The sequence below is a fragment of the Homo sapiens genome, chromosome 2 (assembly GCF_000001405.40).
Source record: "Homo sapiens chromosome 2, GRCh38.p14 Primary Assembly".
Lineage (NCBI taxonomy): Eukaryota > Metazoa > Chordata > Mammalia > Primates > Hominidae > Homo > Homo sapiens.
In genome coordinates, this window is record NC_000002.12 from 104,093,174 (window position 1) to 104,113,029 (window position 19,856).

At 36.0% G+C, this 19,856-nt stretch overlaps 1 long non-coding RNA gene across 1 annotated transcript; it reads right to left on the reverse strand.

Moving 5' to 3' along the window:
• Positions 1-616: 616 nt before the first annotated feature.
• On the reverse strand, positions 617-18,793 carry LOC105373521 (uncharacterized). The gene is made up of 3 exons (XR_923125.2): positions 18,705-18,793; positions 793-860; positions 617-667 (listed from the first exon to the last, which is right to left on the reverse strand). It is a non-coding gene; the product is annotated as an uncharacterized LOC105373521 (long non-coding RNA).
• Positions 18,794-19,856: the final 1,063 nt, after the last annotated feature.

Here is a 19,856-nt window from a genome sequence, read left to right on the forward strand (position 1 = left end):
TAATATTGTAGGAATTCATTTGAATACGTTGCTTTTGTTCCCTAATCCCCCGAACTAACATTTGTATCAAAGTTACCTGACGATATAAGCACAGTACACTGTAGAATGAAAACGTCTTTTCAAATATTTATCCTTTCTCTGGGGAATTTTAAGAATTGCTGAATTAAGGGATGGTTTTAACCAGAAACACAAGTACTCGCTAATTCCAAACAAATGAAAACCAAAGACATAATTGTAGTTTTCATCATGGTGTTCTTTATACGTGATCAATGAGAAAATTTTCTACCATTTTAACAAAAAAAATGTTTGCTAGTCACTTTTATATCATCAATATTGCTGGCAATAATAAAAATAATATGCTTATTTTACTCATACGATGTCACCATATTTTATTCTGTTATTTCCTGAGAAACCTAAGGTTCAATGAGTATCATATTTTATTTCTGTAGACCATTCAGTGCTGGTAGTACTGATGGCTGTTATTTGGTACTGCTTCTTCAAACATTGACGAAGAGCTTCTTTCAGTGGTTCCTTTCAAGTGGTCAATGGACTGAAGACAGGTTGATTATTTTTCACGTTTTTCAAAATTATAATTACAGTGTGATTCCCCATTAGAAAACGAACTTGGTGTGCGTGTAAACTCAAGTGGCTAGATGACAGCCAGTCCCTGCAGGATGAACCGTCACAGAGTTGGCAACCTCGGAGGCAGGGAAAGAAGGGAAAAAGGTCCAAAGAACAGCCTCTCCCTCAGAAAGCCTGGTTCTTCAACCATCGGGATCTGTCGGCACTTACCTGAGAGGCATAAGGGCCCTCTTCTTCTCTGTATTTGGACATGGGTGTAGATTTCACCAGAATTTAAACTAGAAGGAAATATAGGAGACATTCCTGAAGAAGCCTATATGCTCATAACTTCCAAATTAATATCTTACTCATATATGTTACTTGACCACCAAACATTTACATCCAGTTTTCAATTTGCCATTGCCGCCTGGATAGACAATCAAAGATGTTTATAGTGTAACACATTTATTTATTTATTTATTTATTTATTTATTTATTTATTTATTTATATTTTTATTTTTCTGAGACCAAGTCTCGCTCTATTGTCCAGGCTGGAATGCAGTGGCACAATCTCGGTTCACTGCAATCTCTGCCTCCCGAGTTCAAGTGATTCTCGTGCATCAGCCTCTGGGTAGCTGGGATTACAGGCATGTGCTGCGCCTGGCTAATTTTTGTATTTTTAGTAGAGATGGGGTTTTGCTATGTTGGACAGGCTAGTCTTGAACTCTTGGCCTCAAGTGATCCACCTGCCTCCGCCTCCCAAAGTGCTGGGATTATAGGCGCAAGCCAAGTGCCCAGCCTATAACATAGCACATTTAAAATTGAACTTCCAACTCCTGCTTTCTCATCTTTCCCCCATAGTCCATCTTACCTCAGCAGGTGGCAATTTCATCTTTCCTGTGGCTCTGGTCATAGAATTGAGCGTCATTTATTAATTCTTTCTCTTACATATCCCACATCCAATCCATCTGCAAATGTTGTTGGCTCTAGTTTTTAAATATGTTCAGTATATGCTTCTGTTCATCTTCATCACTACCAAAGCTCAAACCTACTAAAAGATCTCCCCACTTTCTACTTGTTCTTTATTACTATTTTCAAAATAGTGGCCAGAATGATGCCTTTGAGGCATGAGTCAGAGCATGTCATGCTTATCCTCATAATTCTCCAGTGGCTTCCTCTCTCCCTTAAAGAAAGAGCTGGAGTACTAACCATGGCACTGAAGACCCTGTACAACCTCCCGCCTTGCTGATTCTCTGACTCCGGCACCTAACAGCACTCCTCTTGTTATTCACAATCCTGGAGCCACTCAGGCCTCCTTGCTCTTCCTCAGGTGCACCAAGCCAGTTCTGGTCTCAAGATCTTTGTAAGTATTTTAACCTGTGGCTAGAATCTTTTTCTCCCAGATATCCACATGGCTTCCAATTTTACTTCCTACAGTCTCTGTTCAAATATCATTTCATCATAGAGGGCTCCTCTGATGTCTTTTAGGAGATAGTCTCTGCTTCCTTACTTCTCTCTCCATCTTACCACACTTCATTTTTCTCCATAGCGTTTATCACCCCCTTACATAAACTATTTAATTAAATATAAGTTGCAATGATTGTAAGATACATGGTTATTTTATGTATCACTAAGAAAGAAAATATACTGCCAAGACCAGCTTGGTTGGGGAGACCCTAACTCAGTGGCGCTAGAGGAATTAAAGACACACACACAGAAATATAGAGGTGTGGAGTGGGAAATCAGGGGTTTCAAAGCCTTGAGAGCCGAGAGCCTCAAACAGAGATTTACCCACATATTTATTGACAGCAAGCCAGTGATAAGCACTGTTTCTATAGATTATAGATTAACTAAAAGTATTCCTTATGGGAAACAAAGGGATGGGCTGAAATAAAGGGATGGGTTGGGCTAGTTATCTGCAGCAGGAGCATGTCCTTAAGACACAGATCACTCATGCTATTGTTTGTGGTTTAAGAACGCCTTTAGCAGTTTCCCGCCCTGGGTGGGCCAGGTGTTCCTTGCCCTCATTCCGGTAAACCCACAAGCTTCCAACGTGGGCGTCATGGCCATCAAAAACATGTCACAGTGCTGCAGAGATTTTGTTTATGGTCAGTTTTGGGGCCAGTTTATGGCCAGATTTTGGAGGCCTATTCCCAACAATATACTGCTAATTAAACTGTGAAACAATACTTTATTTGATTTGAATTTTTATTTTAATCATACTAAGAGAGCTCTTTTAGACATACTTAAACATGGATTTCTATCACCTGTCACCCTTATGCTTATAAAAAAATGAAAAGGACAAACAAAAAAGGTTGAGTTATTCCTAAAACTTGTTCACATTAAGAAAGAGTAAATTGTCTATATCCCTGATTTTCTACACAATATCATATTTTGTACATTCAAGAGCTATTAATAATTTGGTGTTTTTTCTAAAAAATAATGCTCTAGTAATGACTTTTGCATTTTCTTCTCTGCTCCTGAATATTGTACAAGTTTTGATGGATGCTTTTTTGATTTGACTAAAGTCAAATACATAAATCTGTCACACCAGCCTCTTATTACTCTGAAGAACTTTTTCTCCTCCAAGGGGTATAGCCACATTTGCTGCTTGTAGGGAAACTGTTCTGCTATGGTGCCATGGTGATCTTGCACAGATCTACTTAGGAACACCTTATGATCTCTGCAAGAAGAGAGGATGGGGGGCTTGTAATGAGCTGCCTCAAAAGCTTCTCGTGGCAGGTCATGGTGGCTCCCACCTGTAATCCTGGCACTTTGGGAAGCCAAGGTGAATGGATCGCTTGAGCCCAGGAGTTTGACATCAGCCTGGATAACATGGCCAAACCTCATCTCTACAAAAATACAAAAATTAGCTGGGTGTCTTGGTAAGCATTTGTGGTCCCAGCTACTCAGGAAGCTGAGGTGGTAGGATCACCTGAGTTCAGAGGGTTGAGGCTGTAGTGAGCCTTGGTCGTGCCCCTGCATCCCAGCCTGAGCTACAGAATGAGACCCTTTCTCCCTCCACCCTCCCACCCCTGCCAAAAAGCTACTTGCATTGGTCTCCCTGTCTACCTTGGGAGGCATCATAAGTCAGTTTCTCATTGCCTCTCAGGTTTCTGCTCCTCCCCGTAAAGGGACAGCTTCAGACCTTACAACTGTTCAGCTAAGGTCTAGACTGTGTTCCTGAGCCTCAGCATGTCCCATAAGTCACGCTGGATTGTGTCCTAGCATCTTTGGTTTTGATATCATTTTTGCTACCTAGGACAAGGACTGCAGGGAGCTGGCCCCCATTAGGCATTGATGTAAGTAATAAACTATTTGCATTTAAAATTGGCTGAATCGCACCTTGACTTCCGCCTTGCCTCATATTATGGTCTTGGCACTGCCTTCTGATGAATTGCTTGGTCTGTATTAGTTCAGTGCCTTTTGCATACATCTCAGTTGGAAAATAAGTCAACAGCTTTATTTATATATAGGCACTTTTGTTTTCTCAGCCATAGCATGTTAAAGCTTATTGCTCTGCAGGAAAGTATAGAAATCAGGTATTCTTCCAATAATGAATATTCGTCTAACAAATATTAAATTTATGTCCTGCTGGTTTATATCTGTGCATTTCTGCATAAAAATTTTGGCATTGATGTCATGTCATAATGTGGTCTCTTAGAAAATACTTTTACATGGCAAATAAACTCAACATGTGTGGTACAATGGACATAACTCATATGACTCAAATATCTAAAATATGAAGAATTATAATTAAGTTTACATACCACAAATGCCACCTAGCCAAAAGTGAATATAAGATGAGCTCAATTGTAAGATGAACCTCAATGTCAAAGATTAAAGCGTGAACAATTATGGATTTTTGAATGGAGGGAATTTAGTGCATACTTGCCTGTTTGCTTCATGGCTATCTCTCACCCATGGAATGAAAGTTTCATGAGAAGGGACTCTGTGGTTTTATTCAGTATTCATACCTCCAGAGCCTAGAGTATGGCTGACATATAGTATGCTGTCAAAACTAGTTTGCTGGCCAGGCAAGGTGGCTCACGCCTGTAATCCCAGCACTTTGGGAGGCCGAGGTGGGTGGATCACCTGAGGTCAGAAGTTTGAGACCAGCTGGGCCAACATGGTGAAACCCTGTCTCTACAAAAAATACAAAAATTAGCCAGGTGTGGTGGCACATGCCTGTAATCCCAGCTACTTGGGAGGCTGAGGCAGGAGAATCTCTTGAACCCAGGAGGTGGCGGTTGCAATGAGCCAAGATCACACCACTGCACTCCAGCCTGGGCAACAGAATGATGCTCCGTTTCAAAAAAAACAAAAAAATACAAAAAAAAAAAAAACAAAACTAGTGAATAAGTAAGGAAAGAATCTGCTTAGCAATCTTTTCAGCCTACAAGAAACAGGTTGCTGTGGAACTTTTCCCCTTAGTGGGTTTCCCAATATCCTTTTATGATTGATTATTGATAACTAAGCACAACTTAACAAAACTCAACTGCAAACAAGGTTGAGTGGAAAGTGCAGATCAAAGTATCTTTGAAAGGCTAATATAGAAACAGAGCCTCATATTTAGGATGATAGAGACAGGAGACGGGAAGGCTGAATTTATTTCTATTGCCATCTACAAAGGGGACTCAAATTCTCAACCTTCCACGGCTCATTCAACTACGTTCCATTTCATTCAGGTCACTCTTCTCACAGGCATCATAATTAAAGGTTTCATTTCTAGAGTAAGGTAACTTTTTATATGCTTCATCCTATCCCTGTAGTGCTATTCTTTTCTCCTTTTGCAACATTCATAGGTTTCTTATTGTCCCTAAATGTTAATTTGCTGCTGAAATTGGCTTAGGTGGCTGCCTTTTAAAATAGCGCCCAAATTCCTTTGCACCTACATCTTTACAAGTAAGGCATGGTTACAATGGTGGACAGAAAATGTCCGTCCAGACATGTATTTTGATATACACAAAAGAAATGTGTCTGTGTTTATATGCAGGAACTCATTCAGAAACTGCTCAACTAGGAAGTACTTAACCTTTCAGAAACTTAGATGTGTTAAAAAAGGGATTTCGGGGGTCTATAAAATTTACGTGATCTTTAACTCTATACCTTTGAGTTGAAAGAAAAGGGAGGGGGGAATTTTGTGAGAACATAATAAAGTTTTATTGTCCTCCACTGTGGGATCTATTTCGGTGTTCTCTTTTCTTCCTGTTGTATTCTGAAGCTGCAGAGCAGGGTTGCTCTCTGAAGATATTTAGTAATGAGAGAAAGATCCCCAAATAGGCAACTTAAAATGTCAAAGGAGGGAGCAGAGGAGGAAAATAATAAGCTTCAATATTCTCTTTAAAGATCAATTTTTATTTTCTTCTTTCTATTCACTGAAAGAGCTTCATTTGTTTCTATAGCCCTTCTATGTTAATAATGTAAACTCATCTTACATAATTAAGTGCCTGGGATTCCAAAGACTTTCCAGATATTGTGCAGAATATTGGCCTAACAAGGATAACTAAAAATACAGGATAACAAGCAAATGGATTAGGTCTTAACCTCATGTGGAGTGTAAATTATCCACAAAACAAGAACTGAAGTAAAATGAGCATTATCACTAAATGGCAGCATCTGAGGCAAAATTTTCTACCTGCTAATATTTAATGTCACTGCCTTGGAGGACCGGAATCTTAACATAAGTTTCCCTGTATCAGTACATATGTATCACCTAACACTATCAGACACTGATAAATAACTTTTGATGGTGACAAAGTTTCATTAACATAAAGCATTGTGTTTTCATGGCTATTGTATATTGGATGAAACTATCGATAGGGGGACATGGAACCTGGCACCAGTTCCATTAAAAATCTTAATGCAATTTCACCTTCTAATAAATTTCACCGAAGTTATGATTTTGCTACAATATTAAGTTGCAGAGGATCTTATATGAAATCACTCTTGTAAACTGTCCTCTTAGCTATAACTTAAAACATATGTATAAACAAATACTGAAATCTGTTTGAATTTTTAGAAAACATATTGTTTTCAAAATAAATAATCATAGGCTATATCCTGTATGTGGATAAATATTCATTTGTATAAAAATGTTGCAGTGTTTACTTAGTTTTGCCATGAAATCTCATTATCATCTTCACATTTTGTACATTTTAATTTATAAAAATGAGTCTTAGGATTTGAAAATAGAAGTTGTGAAAATAGGAAAAAAAGATACAGAATATGTAGAAAGAAGGGTAAAAATACTGTAGCAATGAGGGAAGTTAGTATTTTTTCTCAGTGTATTTTTTCCATGCCATCAATACTAGGACACAATTAATAAAGTGGCACGGGTTTCTAGCAGCAGCTCAGAATTACCAGGAGATGGGTATGACAAAATAAAAGGATATTTGGGTTTTTATAGTGCTCGTGTGTGTGTGTGTGTGTGTGTGTGTGTGTGTGAATGTTACATGTGCATGTATATTGGAAATGTTATATATATCTTAGGGATACACATTTGGATTTTCATAATACAAAAAACAGTTAATATAAATATATCAACTACAAATATAAATATATTTTTAAAATGTATTTATAATGACATCAGAAATATATATATTTTTAAATTTATTTATAATGACCTCAGAAAAAATCTGAAAACAATATTGTTATTTGTATAATTAGTTGTCCACAAGAGGACAAGAAGCTTAAATTAAATTAATCATTTTAAGTGTGTAAACTTTCCACCCTGACAATTTATCATAATTTTGGCAGGGGAAACCCAGCGAATTTCAAGAGTCTTCAAAAACCTGTACATGAGGTTTCCAGGAAATTATTGGCCTAAGTATTTATCAGCAAGAGATTATACATCTTCTATATGTGTACTGAAATGCCATGTGCCTTGTGGCAGTGGTTCCTTATATTAAAATGGCACCATACATGTTTGTATGTGTGTGTTCATATGTGTATACACATATGGTAAAAATGTTTGCACATATTACAGGCATATTTATGCTTTCACCCATAAACTTTTGCATACAAACGGATATTCTATAATTACTTGCTATGTAGTTATATGTGGCAATGTCAAAAATAAACATAAATTTAAATACAAACTATTAACTAAAAACATTCTATAGTTAATATATCAATTTATTTATTTAACAAATTTTAGGAATATAAATGTTCATTTATTCTACTACTATTTGCTGATTACCAATTAGTATTGAGTACTTGATAGATACTAGAGAGGCAGAGATGAAAAGATGAAAAAGGCCTCAGAGCTGATCACAATCTATCTGAGAAGAAGGTCTGTAGGGCCATTTATAGTGTTTGGAGAAAAATCTGCACTTACTCTAATGAAGCACATTTCTTTCTGCCAGGAAAAGCAAAGCTACTACAAGAACTCACTACATCAATGCGTGTTCATTATTGAGAACATCCTAGGAGAGCGTGCATCATCACAGGCTGCTCTGAGGTCTGTGCCCAATCAAGCAAAGAACAACGGGGATAATCACACTGTGCAGAGGGTGACCAATTTAGAAAAAAAGGACCCTTAAGAAGGTCTTCCAACTTCCTTAAATGACTTTCATTAATTTTACACCTTTTGCCAATTAATTGCACTTATGAGCCTTCCTTGTCAATTACTGCATTCTCATTTTCGGCAATTGAACTAATCTTGGCCTATTCATATTTTGTTTTTTAAATAGGTATTTCCAATTATTGATATAGATCTTTATAATTACATTACAAATGTTTCACCATATTTATTCATTCTTTATAGAGACAAAATAAAGGTTCTATCATCTACACTTAAAACATGTACTTTTTTCTTTACAGCACAACTTACAATATACTCCTTATTTGGTGATTATTTTAAAACAAATATATTCCATTTAAAATATAAGCTCAATAACTACAGATACATGTATGTGTGTGTGTGTGTATATATATACACATACATATATACACATGTGTATATATACACATGAGTATATATGTATATACACACATATATATGTATATATACACATATATATACACATATATATATACACACACATACATGTATTTTTCTTATTCTGTTTTCAGTGTCTGTCTGTCTGCATACATGTTATACAGAAAAAGTTAAATTAGTATTTGATCAATAGTGAGTTTAATGTACATTCATTTTTCACCTGCTGCATATTAAGTGCTGTTAGTTTACAAATATGAGTAAGACCAAAATAAAGCTATCAAGAAACTCAGGGCCTACATTTCAATGTGGCTAGTGCAATCATTGATTTATTTACTGAGTGTTATGATCACACAGAAGAGGTACTAACCCTACTTTTTATTATAGTGAACTGCCTTCTGAAAGTGGCTTACTTAAAGAACATAGCTGGAGGTATTACATTATCTAATTACAAGCTATACTACAAAGCTATAGTAATTAAAACGCATGGTGTTGGCAAAAAAGATATGTAAACCAATGGAATAGAAAACCCAGAAATTAACCCATACCTACAGACAAATGATTTTCTATAAAGCTGCCAAGAATACACAATGGGAAAAATACAGTCTCTTCAATAAATGGTGTTGGGAAAACTGCATTTCCACATGCAGAAGAATAAAATTGGACCTACCTCTCACACTATACACAAAAACTACCCAAAATGGATTAAGGATTTAAACATAAAATCAGAAACTCTTAAACTACTAGAAGAAAACAGAGGGGGAAAAACTATATGACATTGGTCTGGGCAATGATTTTTTTGGATTTGACTCCAAAAGCACAGGCAGCAAGTCCAAAAGCAGACAAACAAGATTACATCAGACTAGAAAGCTTCTGCACATCAAAGAAAACAATTAACAGTTTGCAAAAACAACCTAAGGGTTGGGAGAAAATATTAGCAAACGCATATCTGATAAAGAGTTATAACCAAAGTACATAAGGAGCTCCAAGAACTCAATAGCAGAAAACAAAACAAAACAAAAAATTAAAAAATGGGCAAGAAGTCTGACTAGATAGTTATCAAAAAAAGACATGCAAATGGCCAGCAGATGCATGGAAAAATGTTCAACACGGCTAATCATTCAAAAAATGCAAATTAAAACCACAAAGAGATATCATCTCACACCTGTCTTAATGGTTTCATCGAAGAGCTGAATGATAACACATGGTTGACAAAGCTGTGCAGAAAAAGGAACACTTGCACACTGTTGGTGGAAAATGTAAATTAGCACAATCATTATGGGAAGTAATATGGAGGTTCCACAAAAAACTAAAAATAGAATTACCATATGATCCAGCAATCCCACGTCTGGGTATTTGCCCAAAAGATTTTGAATCAGTTTGACAAAGAGATATCTGCACTCCCATGTTCACTGCTGCACTATTCACAATAGCCAAATTATGGAATCAACATAAATGTCTGTCAGTCAATCAATGGATAAAGAATGGATAAATGAAATACTATTCAGCCTTAAAAAAAAAAAAAGACAATTTTGTCATTTGGGACAACATGAATGGAACTGGAGAACATTATGCTAAGTAAAACAAGTCAGGTACAGTAAGACAAATACTATATGTTCTCACTTACGTATGGAATCTAAAATAATTGAACTCATAGAAGCAGACTTTGGAGTGGCGGTCACAGAGGCTGAGGGGCAGGGAAAATGAGGAAATGTTGGCCACAAGGTACAGAATCCCAATTAGACAGGAAGAATATCTTTTCCTCCTTTTTGAGTTCCACTGCATAATGTGGTGAATATAGTTAAAAATAGAGGCTGGGCGCAGTGGCTCACGCCTATAATCCCAGCAGTTTGGGAGGCCAAGGCAGGCGGATCACCTGAGGTCAGGACTTCGAGACCAGCCTGACCAATATGGTGAAACCCCTTCTCTGCTAAAAATACAAAAATTAGCCAGGTGTGGTGGCATGCGCCTGTACAGCTATTCCGGAGGCTGAGGCAGGAGAATAGCTAGAACCTGGGAGGCAGAGGTTGCAGCGAGCCGAGATCGCACCACTGCACTTCAGCCTGGGTGACAGAGCAAGACTCTGCCTCAAAAATAAATAAATAAATAAATAAATAAATAAATAAATAAATAAAATAGAGTACTGTGCATTTCAAAAGTAATTTCAAATGTCCTCGCTAGAAAATTTTTAAATATTTGAGGTGACAGATACAGTAACTAGCTTGATTTAATTACTCCACATTGTATTTTCATACCCCATAAATTTTAGACAATAATAGTCAATTTATAATAAATAAATAATATTACAATCAATTAATAATTACCAAATGAATACCAGAGAGGTATGTTGTCTTTAAATGATGTCTCTTCCCAAAATGTTCCCATTTGCAACTAAAATAACAAAATACAAGAGACTGGAAACAAAAATTTGTGTGACTTTTTTGTGTGCATTGTAGACTCCACTGCCATGACATGGAACTCCAGAATAGTAATGAATTATGGTTTCAATAAGAACCCATGATAAGACAACTAGGAGGGTAGTAAAATAAAAGTTTCTGAGAGTTCCATCCTTCAATGTCCTATTAACTGTACAAGAAGGCTTCTGGGAAGGTGAAAATCCCTGACAGGATGCAAAACTAATGGCAACAACTGAGCATGTTCCTAAAATCATGGGGTATTTTGCACTAATGGGATTTGCTCCAATACATGACCAAGAGCAGATCTAAAATTTTTCACTTACCAAAAACTGAACCTTGGTCATAGACGGATCTGGAGAATGGTCTGCTCCATATCCATTGACATTATTAGGATTTGGTCGGTCATGTGATGTTGATAGGGTGGTTTCACCTGGGTAACTCCATCCTGAAATAGACTATTTGGGATAGAATTACCACAGGTGTGAATCACATTAAAAACGTGTTTTGGCCATAAATATGAGACAAACCTGGCTATCTTACAGCCCTAACTTTATCTTGATTGTAGAACAAACCACAGGCAGAATACGTGACTCATGGCAGCGAATTTAAAAATTATTTTCTTCGGCCAGGTGCGGTGGCTCACGCCTGTAATCCCAGCACTTTGGGAGGCCGAGGAGGGTGGATCACGAGGTCAGGAGATCCAGACCATCCTGGCTAACACGGTGAAACCCCGTTTCTACTAAAAATACAAAAAAATTAGCTGGGCGCGGTGGCGGGCGCCTGTAGTCCCAGCTACTCGGGAGGCTGAGGCGAGAGAATGGCGTGAACCCGGGAGATGGAGCTTGCAGTGAGCCGAGATCGAGCCACTGCACTCCAGCCTGGGCCAAAGAGCGAGACTCCGTCTCAAAAAAAAAACAAAAACAAAAACAAAATATATACATATATATTTTTTTTCTTCAATTAAATGTATACCTCAAACGTGCATCATTTCTTTGCGTTGGGAACATTCAATATCCTCCTTCAGCCTATTTTAAACTATATAATATATTATTATCGTCAACTATATTCATTCTACACTGCTATAGAATACTAGAATGTATTCCTCCTATCAAGCTGTAAATTTGTGTCCTTTAACAAATGTTAATTACCCTAATTTGATCACTATACATGATATACATCAAAACATCACTATGGAGTCCATAAATATTTATAATTATTATGTGTCAATTTTAAAAATGGTGAAAATGGTAAAGATAGATAAATACATAAATGTGCATCTCAAATAGATTATCTTCTGATGCACTACCTTATTTATTTTTATTTAAAAAAATAAAAACACTAAACTCCCCAAAGTATACAATACAAAGTAAATAGATGGGGGCAGGTAGAGTAATTTTTTAAAAAGTGTGGTAGCTGCCACAAGGGAAGATATATAGATCAATAGTATAGAATAAAGAACTTAGAAATAAACCTTCACATATATGCTCAAAAGATTTTCAACAAGGATGCCAAGAGTATTAAGTAGGGGAAAGGACAGTCTTCAACAAATAATGTTTGGAAACTGAATAGCCACATGCAAAGAAATGAAGTTGTACCCCTCCCTTGCACCATGTACAAAAATTAACTCAAAATAGATGAAAGACCTAAATGTAAGATCTAAAACTATAGAATTCTTACTCGAGACCAGCCTGGCCAACATGGTGGAACCCCGTCTCTACTAAAAATACAAAAATTAGCCAGGCATGGTGGTGCACACCTGTAATCCTAGCTACTCGGGAGGCTGAGGCACGAAAATCGCCTGAACCTGGGAGGCAGTGGTTGCAGTGAGCCGAGATTGCACCACTGCACTCCAGCCTGGGTGACAGAGTGAGACTCTGTCTTGAAAAAATAAATAAATATAAATAAATAGATAAAACTATAGAACTCTAAGAATGAAACATAGATAAAAATATTAAAAACATTAAATTTGTCAGTAATTTTTTGAATGTGATACCAAAAGTAGAGGCAACAAAAAATCAAATAGATAAAATGGACTTAATGAAAATTAAAAACTTGTGTATCAAAAGAAACTATTAAGAGAATAAAAAAGCAACCCATATATTGGGAGAAGATATTTGCAAGTCACATAACTGATAAAGGATTAATATCCAGAATATATGAAGAACTCCTAAAACTCTACAACAATGGAACAAATAACCCAATTCAAAAATAGTCAAAGACTCAAATAGACATTTCTCCAATAAAGATGTACAAACGGACAATAAGCACATGAAAAGATATTCAACATCAGGAATTGCTAATTAAATGCAAATTAATATCATAATGAGACCACTTTATACCCATAGGCATATCCAAAAAAAAAAATACAAAATAATAAATGTTAGCCAAAATGTGGATAAATCAGTAAACTTGTGCATTGATGATAGGAATATAAAATAGTTCAGACACTATGGAAGACAGTAGAGCAATTTATCAAAAGTTAAACATAGAACAGCCATATAATCCAGGTCCATACCCAAAATAATTGAGCAAAGACTTGAATAGATATTTGCAAACCAATGTTTATAGCAGCATTATTCACAACAGCCATAGGTGAAAACAATCCAAATGTCCATCAGTCAATAAAAGGATAAACAAACTGTGGTGTATACATATAATGAAATATTATTGATTCTTTTTAAAAAATGAAAATTCTAGTACATGAATCTTGAAAGCATTATGCTAAGTCAAATAAGCTGGGTTAGAAGAGCAAGTATTGTAGGTTTACACTTATGGAGGTATCTAGAATGAGTAGACAAATTCATAGATACTAACAGTAAAATGATGGTTATCAAGGCCTAGGGGGGAGGTGGGAATGGGGAGTTAGTGTTTAATAGTGTCAACTTTTAAAAACTCAGAATTTATAATTTTAGAAAAGGAGAGGAGACTTATTTCTTGTAAAGGGTTACAGGGGGCAAGGTGGCCACCCCACAAGCTGAGAAATGTGCTTCCAGCCAAGATCAGAGACAGGCACTTAGAAGGAGCAGAGTTTGGGGTAGGAGCTTTATGCTGGACACAGTGGCTAAACATATATATTCAATAGGTTACAGGGAGAGCAAGCTATGAATATTCATGAAGGGGGTCCTGACACACATTTTGAACAAACGTGTGTAACATACCATGCATGTTCACTTTGGGGTGGAGGCCTAAAATATGATGTGTTACAGTTAAGCTCTCTACATCAAAAGGTCCTTTCAGGACACAAAGGCCTGTGAATGCCTCTGTAAACCAGCCCAGAACCACTCCATGGTCAGTGGTCTTTTACCAGGAGAAAGTTGATGAAATCAGTCGCTTATCCAATGAAAGCTGTAGTTAAGGCTGGTGGAAAAGGGAGTCAGTTAATCAAATGTCTGTGAACTGAGTCAGTTAGTCAAATGTCTGCGAACTGGGTGAGTTGTAATTGTTTTAATCTTGCTTCTCTCAAGGACAGTAGTTATTTAGGTGCTAGAGATAAAGAAAAACCTCGTGGCAGTTAGGGACATAGTTTATTTTTTAAGTGTAGTTGTGACTTCACCCTTGCCTGGCATGGCCTGAGGTCCTGTTTATAATTCAGTGTCTTATTGCCAGGAAGAGTCTGTTCAGTCAGTCTCATGAACTCTATTTTAACACTAAGGCTGGTTATGCCTACACCATAAAAAAGGAGGAGGTTATGCCTATGGTTTAGGCATAACCATAAAGAGGTGCATCTGACCGCCCATCCCACTGTGGCTGGGAACTCAGTTTTAAGGATGTTGGGGGTCCCCTTGGGCAAGCTGGGGTCTGTTCAGTTGGTGGGGCCTCAGGACTTATTTTTAGTTTACAATAGGTACAAAGTTTCAGTCTGGAAGGATGGAGAAGTTCTAAAAATGAATAGTAGTGGGTCAAATGGTATTTCCAGTTCTAGATCCCTGAGGAATCGCCACACTGACTTCCACAATGGTTGAACTAGTTTACAGTCCCACCAACAGTGTAGGGATTATAAATCATGCTGCTATAAAGACACATGCACACGTATGTTTATTGCGACACTATTCACAATAGCAAAGACTTGGAACCAACCCAAATGTCCAACAACGATAGACTGGATTAAGAAAATGTGGCACATATATGCCATGCAATACTAAGCAGCCATAAAAAATGATGAGTTAATGTCCTTTGTAGGGACATGGATGAAGCTGGAAACCATCATTCTCAGCAAACTATAGCAAGGACAAAAAACCAAACACCGCATGTTCTCACTCATAGGTGGGAATTGAACAATGAGAACACATGGACACAGGAAGGGGAACATCACACACCGGGGCCTGTTGTGGGGTCGGGGGAGTGGGGAGGGATAGCATCAGGAGATATACCTAATGTTAAATGACGAATTAATGGGTGCAGCACACCAACATGACACATGTATACATATGTAACTAACCTGCACGTTGTGCACATGTACCCTAGAACTTAAAGTATAATAAAAAAAAAATGAATAGTTGTGATGGGTGCACATCATGAACATACTTAATTTCAATAAATTGTACACTGAAAATGTTTACATGGTAAATTATAGATTATGTATATTTTACCACAATTAATAAAATAAGCTATTGTGCAAAAACAAGAAAAGTCTAAGAAACTGATATCAGTTGATATGAACTAAGGAGATGAACTAAGGAGACGTGACAACCGAAGGTGGTGTGATATTCCCATGATACCCTGGAAGAGAAAAATGACAGTACTTAAACAACTAAAGAGATCTGAATAAAGTATGAACTTAAATGGAAAATATATCAATATTTGCTTATTAATTATGAAAAATGTGCCATGCTAATATGTTAATTATAGGGGACAGTTGGTGTGGGTTATATGAGAACTCTCTGTACTATTTTTGCCACCTTTCAGTGAATCTAAAACTACTCAATAGTTCAATTTAAAAGGCATGGAAAAAACTAAATAAGAGGTGAAGCAAATACAAATATCATGGAAGTCAATCTCGTTCTGAAAAAACACCTGACGTTTTATGAAAATGACTTCTGCTATTTGTAAAGAAAATTTTGTAAAAGACACATGAGGCAACTTTACAACAAAAACAAAAAAAACCTTCTTTCTTAGTAGCATAATTTGAATTATTGTTATAAGTAGTAAATAACAATTTAAGAAATCATAAAATCAGATTATGGAAACGATTTGTATGCAAGTAGCTAGGCAGCATGCAGGAAAAAAAAATACAGATAAAGATCATTCAAAGGAAGATGGACAAAATGGAAGACAAGGTGCAAAGATTAAATTTCTGAAACAGAGGAGGCAATAAACAAAGTTTAAAAATAATAAGAGGCCAGGAACGGTGGTTCTCGCCTGTAATCTAAGGACTTTGGGAGCCGAGGTGGGCCAATTGCTTGAGCTCACGAATTCAAGACCAGCCTGGGTAACATGGGAAACCCCGTCTCTATAAAAAAAATACAAAAATTACCCAGGCGTGGTGGTGTGCACCTGTAGTCTCAGCTACACTCTAGCCTGGGTAGACGCAGCTTTGGTCTCAGAAAAAAAAAAAAAATACTAAGAAAGTACATAATTGAAAATAATAATAATTTCAAATTTAACCATTCTACAAGCAGTTACACTTTTAACTGTATACCAAAGAAAAGCTTTTCACGAAGTGAGGAAGGAGTTAAAGCAGTTAGGTTCTGATCTATTCATTCCTTTTACTGAAGAACTTTCCTAGGGGTGAGGGAGTGAGGGCAGAGGGCAAGTGAACTGCTCTGATATTGCCAGTTGGAATAATTACATTTGCTAGTACAAAAATATCTTATACTGAGAAAAACCATGGCAAGATATCCATAGCTAAAGAAAAACTACGGCAAATAAACTCAGAATCCATGGTTTTCTGAGGCAAGTTTTCCTATAAAATGTCACATTTCTTTAAAACTAAAGTATGTCTTGTATATAGCGTATGCATGTACTTCAGTTTGTGTCCAGTTTTAAGTCTGTCTTTTGATCAAAGCATTTATTTCACTTAAATTTAATGTTAAGTATTGATATGATTGGATTTACTTCTGGGATATTTTTGCTGTTTTCTATTTGTCTCATTGACTTTTTTGTTCTGTTTATCTTTTACTGCCTTGTTTTGTGTTAAGAGAGAGATTTCAACGCAATTTTAAATTACTTTTTAAACCATTTCTAAAATGTATTTTCTTAGTCATATGTGGGTACAGTTGGTGGCTCCCCAAAACAACTACAGACATACCTTGTTTGATCATGTCTGGCTTTATTGCAACTCACGGATATTACATTTCTTACATACCGGAGATTTGTGGCAACCCCTGCATCCAGCAAGCCTATCAGCGTCACCTGTTTCAACAGCATCTATTCACTTTGTGTCTCTGTGGCACCAGTTTTTAGCAATAAAATATTTTTAATTATTAAGGTATACACATTGTTTTTAAGACATAATACTGTTGCACACTTTGTAGACTATAGTTTAGTGCAAACATAACTTTTATATGAACTGAAAAACTAAAAAAGTTTACTTTGCTCTGGTGGTCTGGAACTAAACCTGCAATATCTCCCAGGTGTGCCTGTATACACACACACACATATGTGCAATTTTATATTCATCCACATATTGCCACTTCTGATCATATTTATTTATTTCTTGTATGTTTGAGTTAACGTCTGACATCATTTTCTTTAAGCCCCCAGAACTTCCTTTAGTATTTTATATAGAGCAGGTTAGCTAGCAATAGATTTTCTCAACTTTTGTCTCTCTAGGAATGCATTTAATTTCTTTTTCACTTTTTTATTGTTGCAAAACATACATTATATAAAATGTGCCATTTTAACCATAGAGATGTACAGTTCAGGGGCACTAAATACATTCATGATGCATGGCAACCATCACCAGTATTTCCAGAACTTTTTTATCATCTCAAACAGAAACTCTATAGCCATTAAATAACTCCCCTTTACGGCTCTTCCACGCCCTTGGTAAATCTCTATGCAATTACTTTCTATCTCAATGATTTTGCAAATTCCAGGTACTTTGGCTTTGAAGATAAGTCTAATTTAAGCCTATGCTTTAATTGAGTTGTCTCTTACTGACAAGTTTTAAGAGTTCTTTATATATTCTGGATATCAATCCCTTATCATATGTATGATCAGCAAATATTTGCTCCCATTCTGTGGGTTGTATTTTTACTCACTTGACAATGTCCTTGAATACTCAAATATTTTAAACTCAATTAAATCCAATTTATCTATTTGATCTCTTGTTGATCTTTTTTTTGCCTATGTTTTTGGTGTCATATCTAAAAATCATAGCCAGATTCAATGTCATAGTTTCTTTCCTATATTTCTTTCTAAAAGTTGCTGAGTTTTAAGTTTTATGTTTAGGTTTTGGATCCATTGTGAGTTAATCTTTGTACATGATGTAAGGTACAGGTCCAACTGCATTCTTTTGAATGTAGTTATCCAGTTTTCCCAGCACCACCTGCTGAAGAGACTGCCCTTTCCCTCATTGAATGGTCTTGGCACTCTCGTCAAGTAGCAATTGAATTTGTACGTAAAGATTGATTCTATTCTATTCTATTCTATTCTATTCTATTCTATTCTATTCTATTCTATTCTACTCTACTCTACTCTACTCTACTCTACTCTACTCTACTCTACTCTACTCTATTCTATTCTATTCTATTCTATTCTATTCTATTGGTCTGTGTGTCTGTCCTTGTACCAGTATCACAAAGTATTGATTCCTGAAGCTTTATAATAAGTTTTGAAATTGGTACCTTGTGAATCCTCCAACTTCTTTACTTTTCAAGACTGTGTTGGCTATTTGGAGTCCCCAAAGTTTTCATCTGTATTTAGGATGGGTTTCTCTCTTTCCAAAGAAAACAGAATTTTGATTTTTAAAGAGATTGCATTGAATCTGTAAATCTCTTCAATTAACACTGTCACCAAAAAATATTGTCTTCCTCTCCATGAATATGGAGTGACTTTCCATTTCTTTATGTTCTCTTAATAACTATTAACAATGTTTTGTAGTTTCCATTGTGCAAGTATTTACCTCCTTGATTAAATTTATTTCATATTATTATTTTTGATGCTATTGTAAATTGAATAGATTTTTAAATTTTCTATTAAGGTTGTTCATTGTTAGTGCATAGAAAAGCAACTAACTTTTATGAGTTGATTTTTTGCTTCCTGCAATTAATCCTGCTGAATTCACTTAGTAGCATCAACGTGTGTGTGTGCGTGTGTGTGTCTGTGTGTGTGTAATATTTAGGGTTTTCTATATATAAGATCATACCATCTGAGAACAGAGATAATTTTACTTCTTTTCCAATCTGGGTGCCTTTTTTTTTTTTTTTTGCCTAATCTCTCTGAATAGATCTTTCAATACTATGCCGAATAAAAGTGTTAAAGTGGGGATTCTTGTCTTGTCTTAATCTTAGTGGAAATACTTTCAGTTTGTCACTATGGAGTATAATACTGGTCATGAGACTTACATATGTGGTCTTTATCCTGATGGAGAATTTTATTCTATCCCTGGTTTGTTGGATGTTTTATGATAAAAGGATGTTAAATTTTGTCAGATGCTTTTTCTACTTTGAGATAATCATGTGAGGTTTTTCCCTCTTTATTCTATTAATGTGGTGTATTACATCAATTGATTTTCATATCTCAAAATATCCTTGATAATTGATCATGGTGTGAAATTCTCTTAATGTTTCTTAATTCTATTTACTAATGTTTTGTTGAGGATTTTTACATCAATATTCATAAGAATATTGGTTTGTAGTTTTCTTTTCTTGTATTTTCTATGTCTGACTTTAGTATCTGGGAATTTTGCCTCATAAAATGAGTTGTGAGTATTCTCTCCTTGACTATTTTTTAACGTTTGTGTAACACTGGTATTAATTTTTCCTCAAATATTCAAT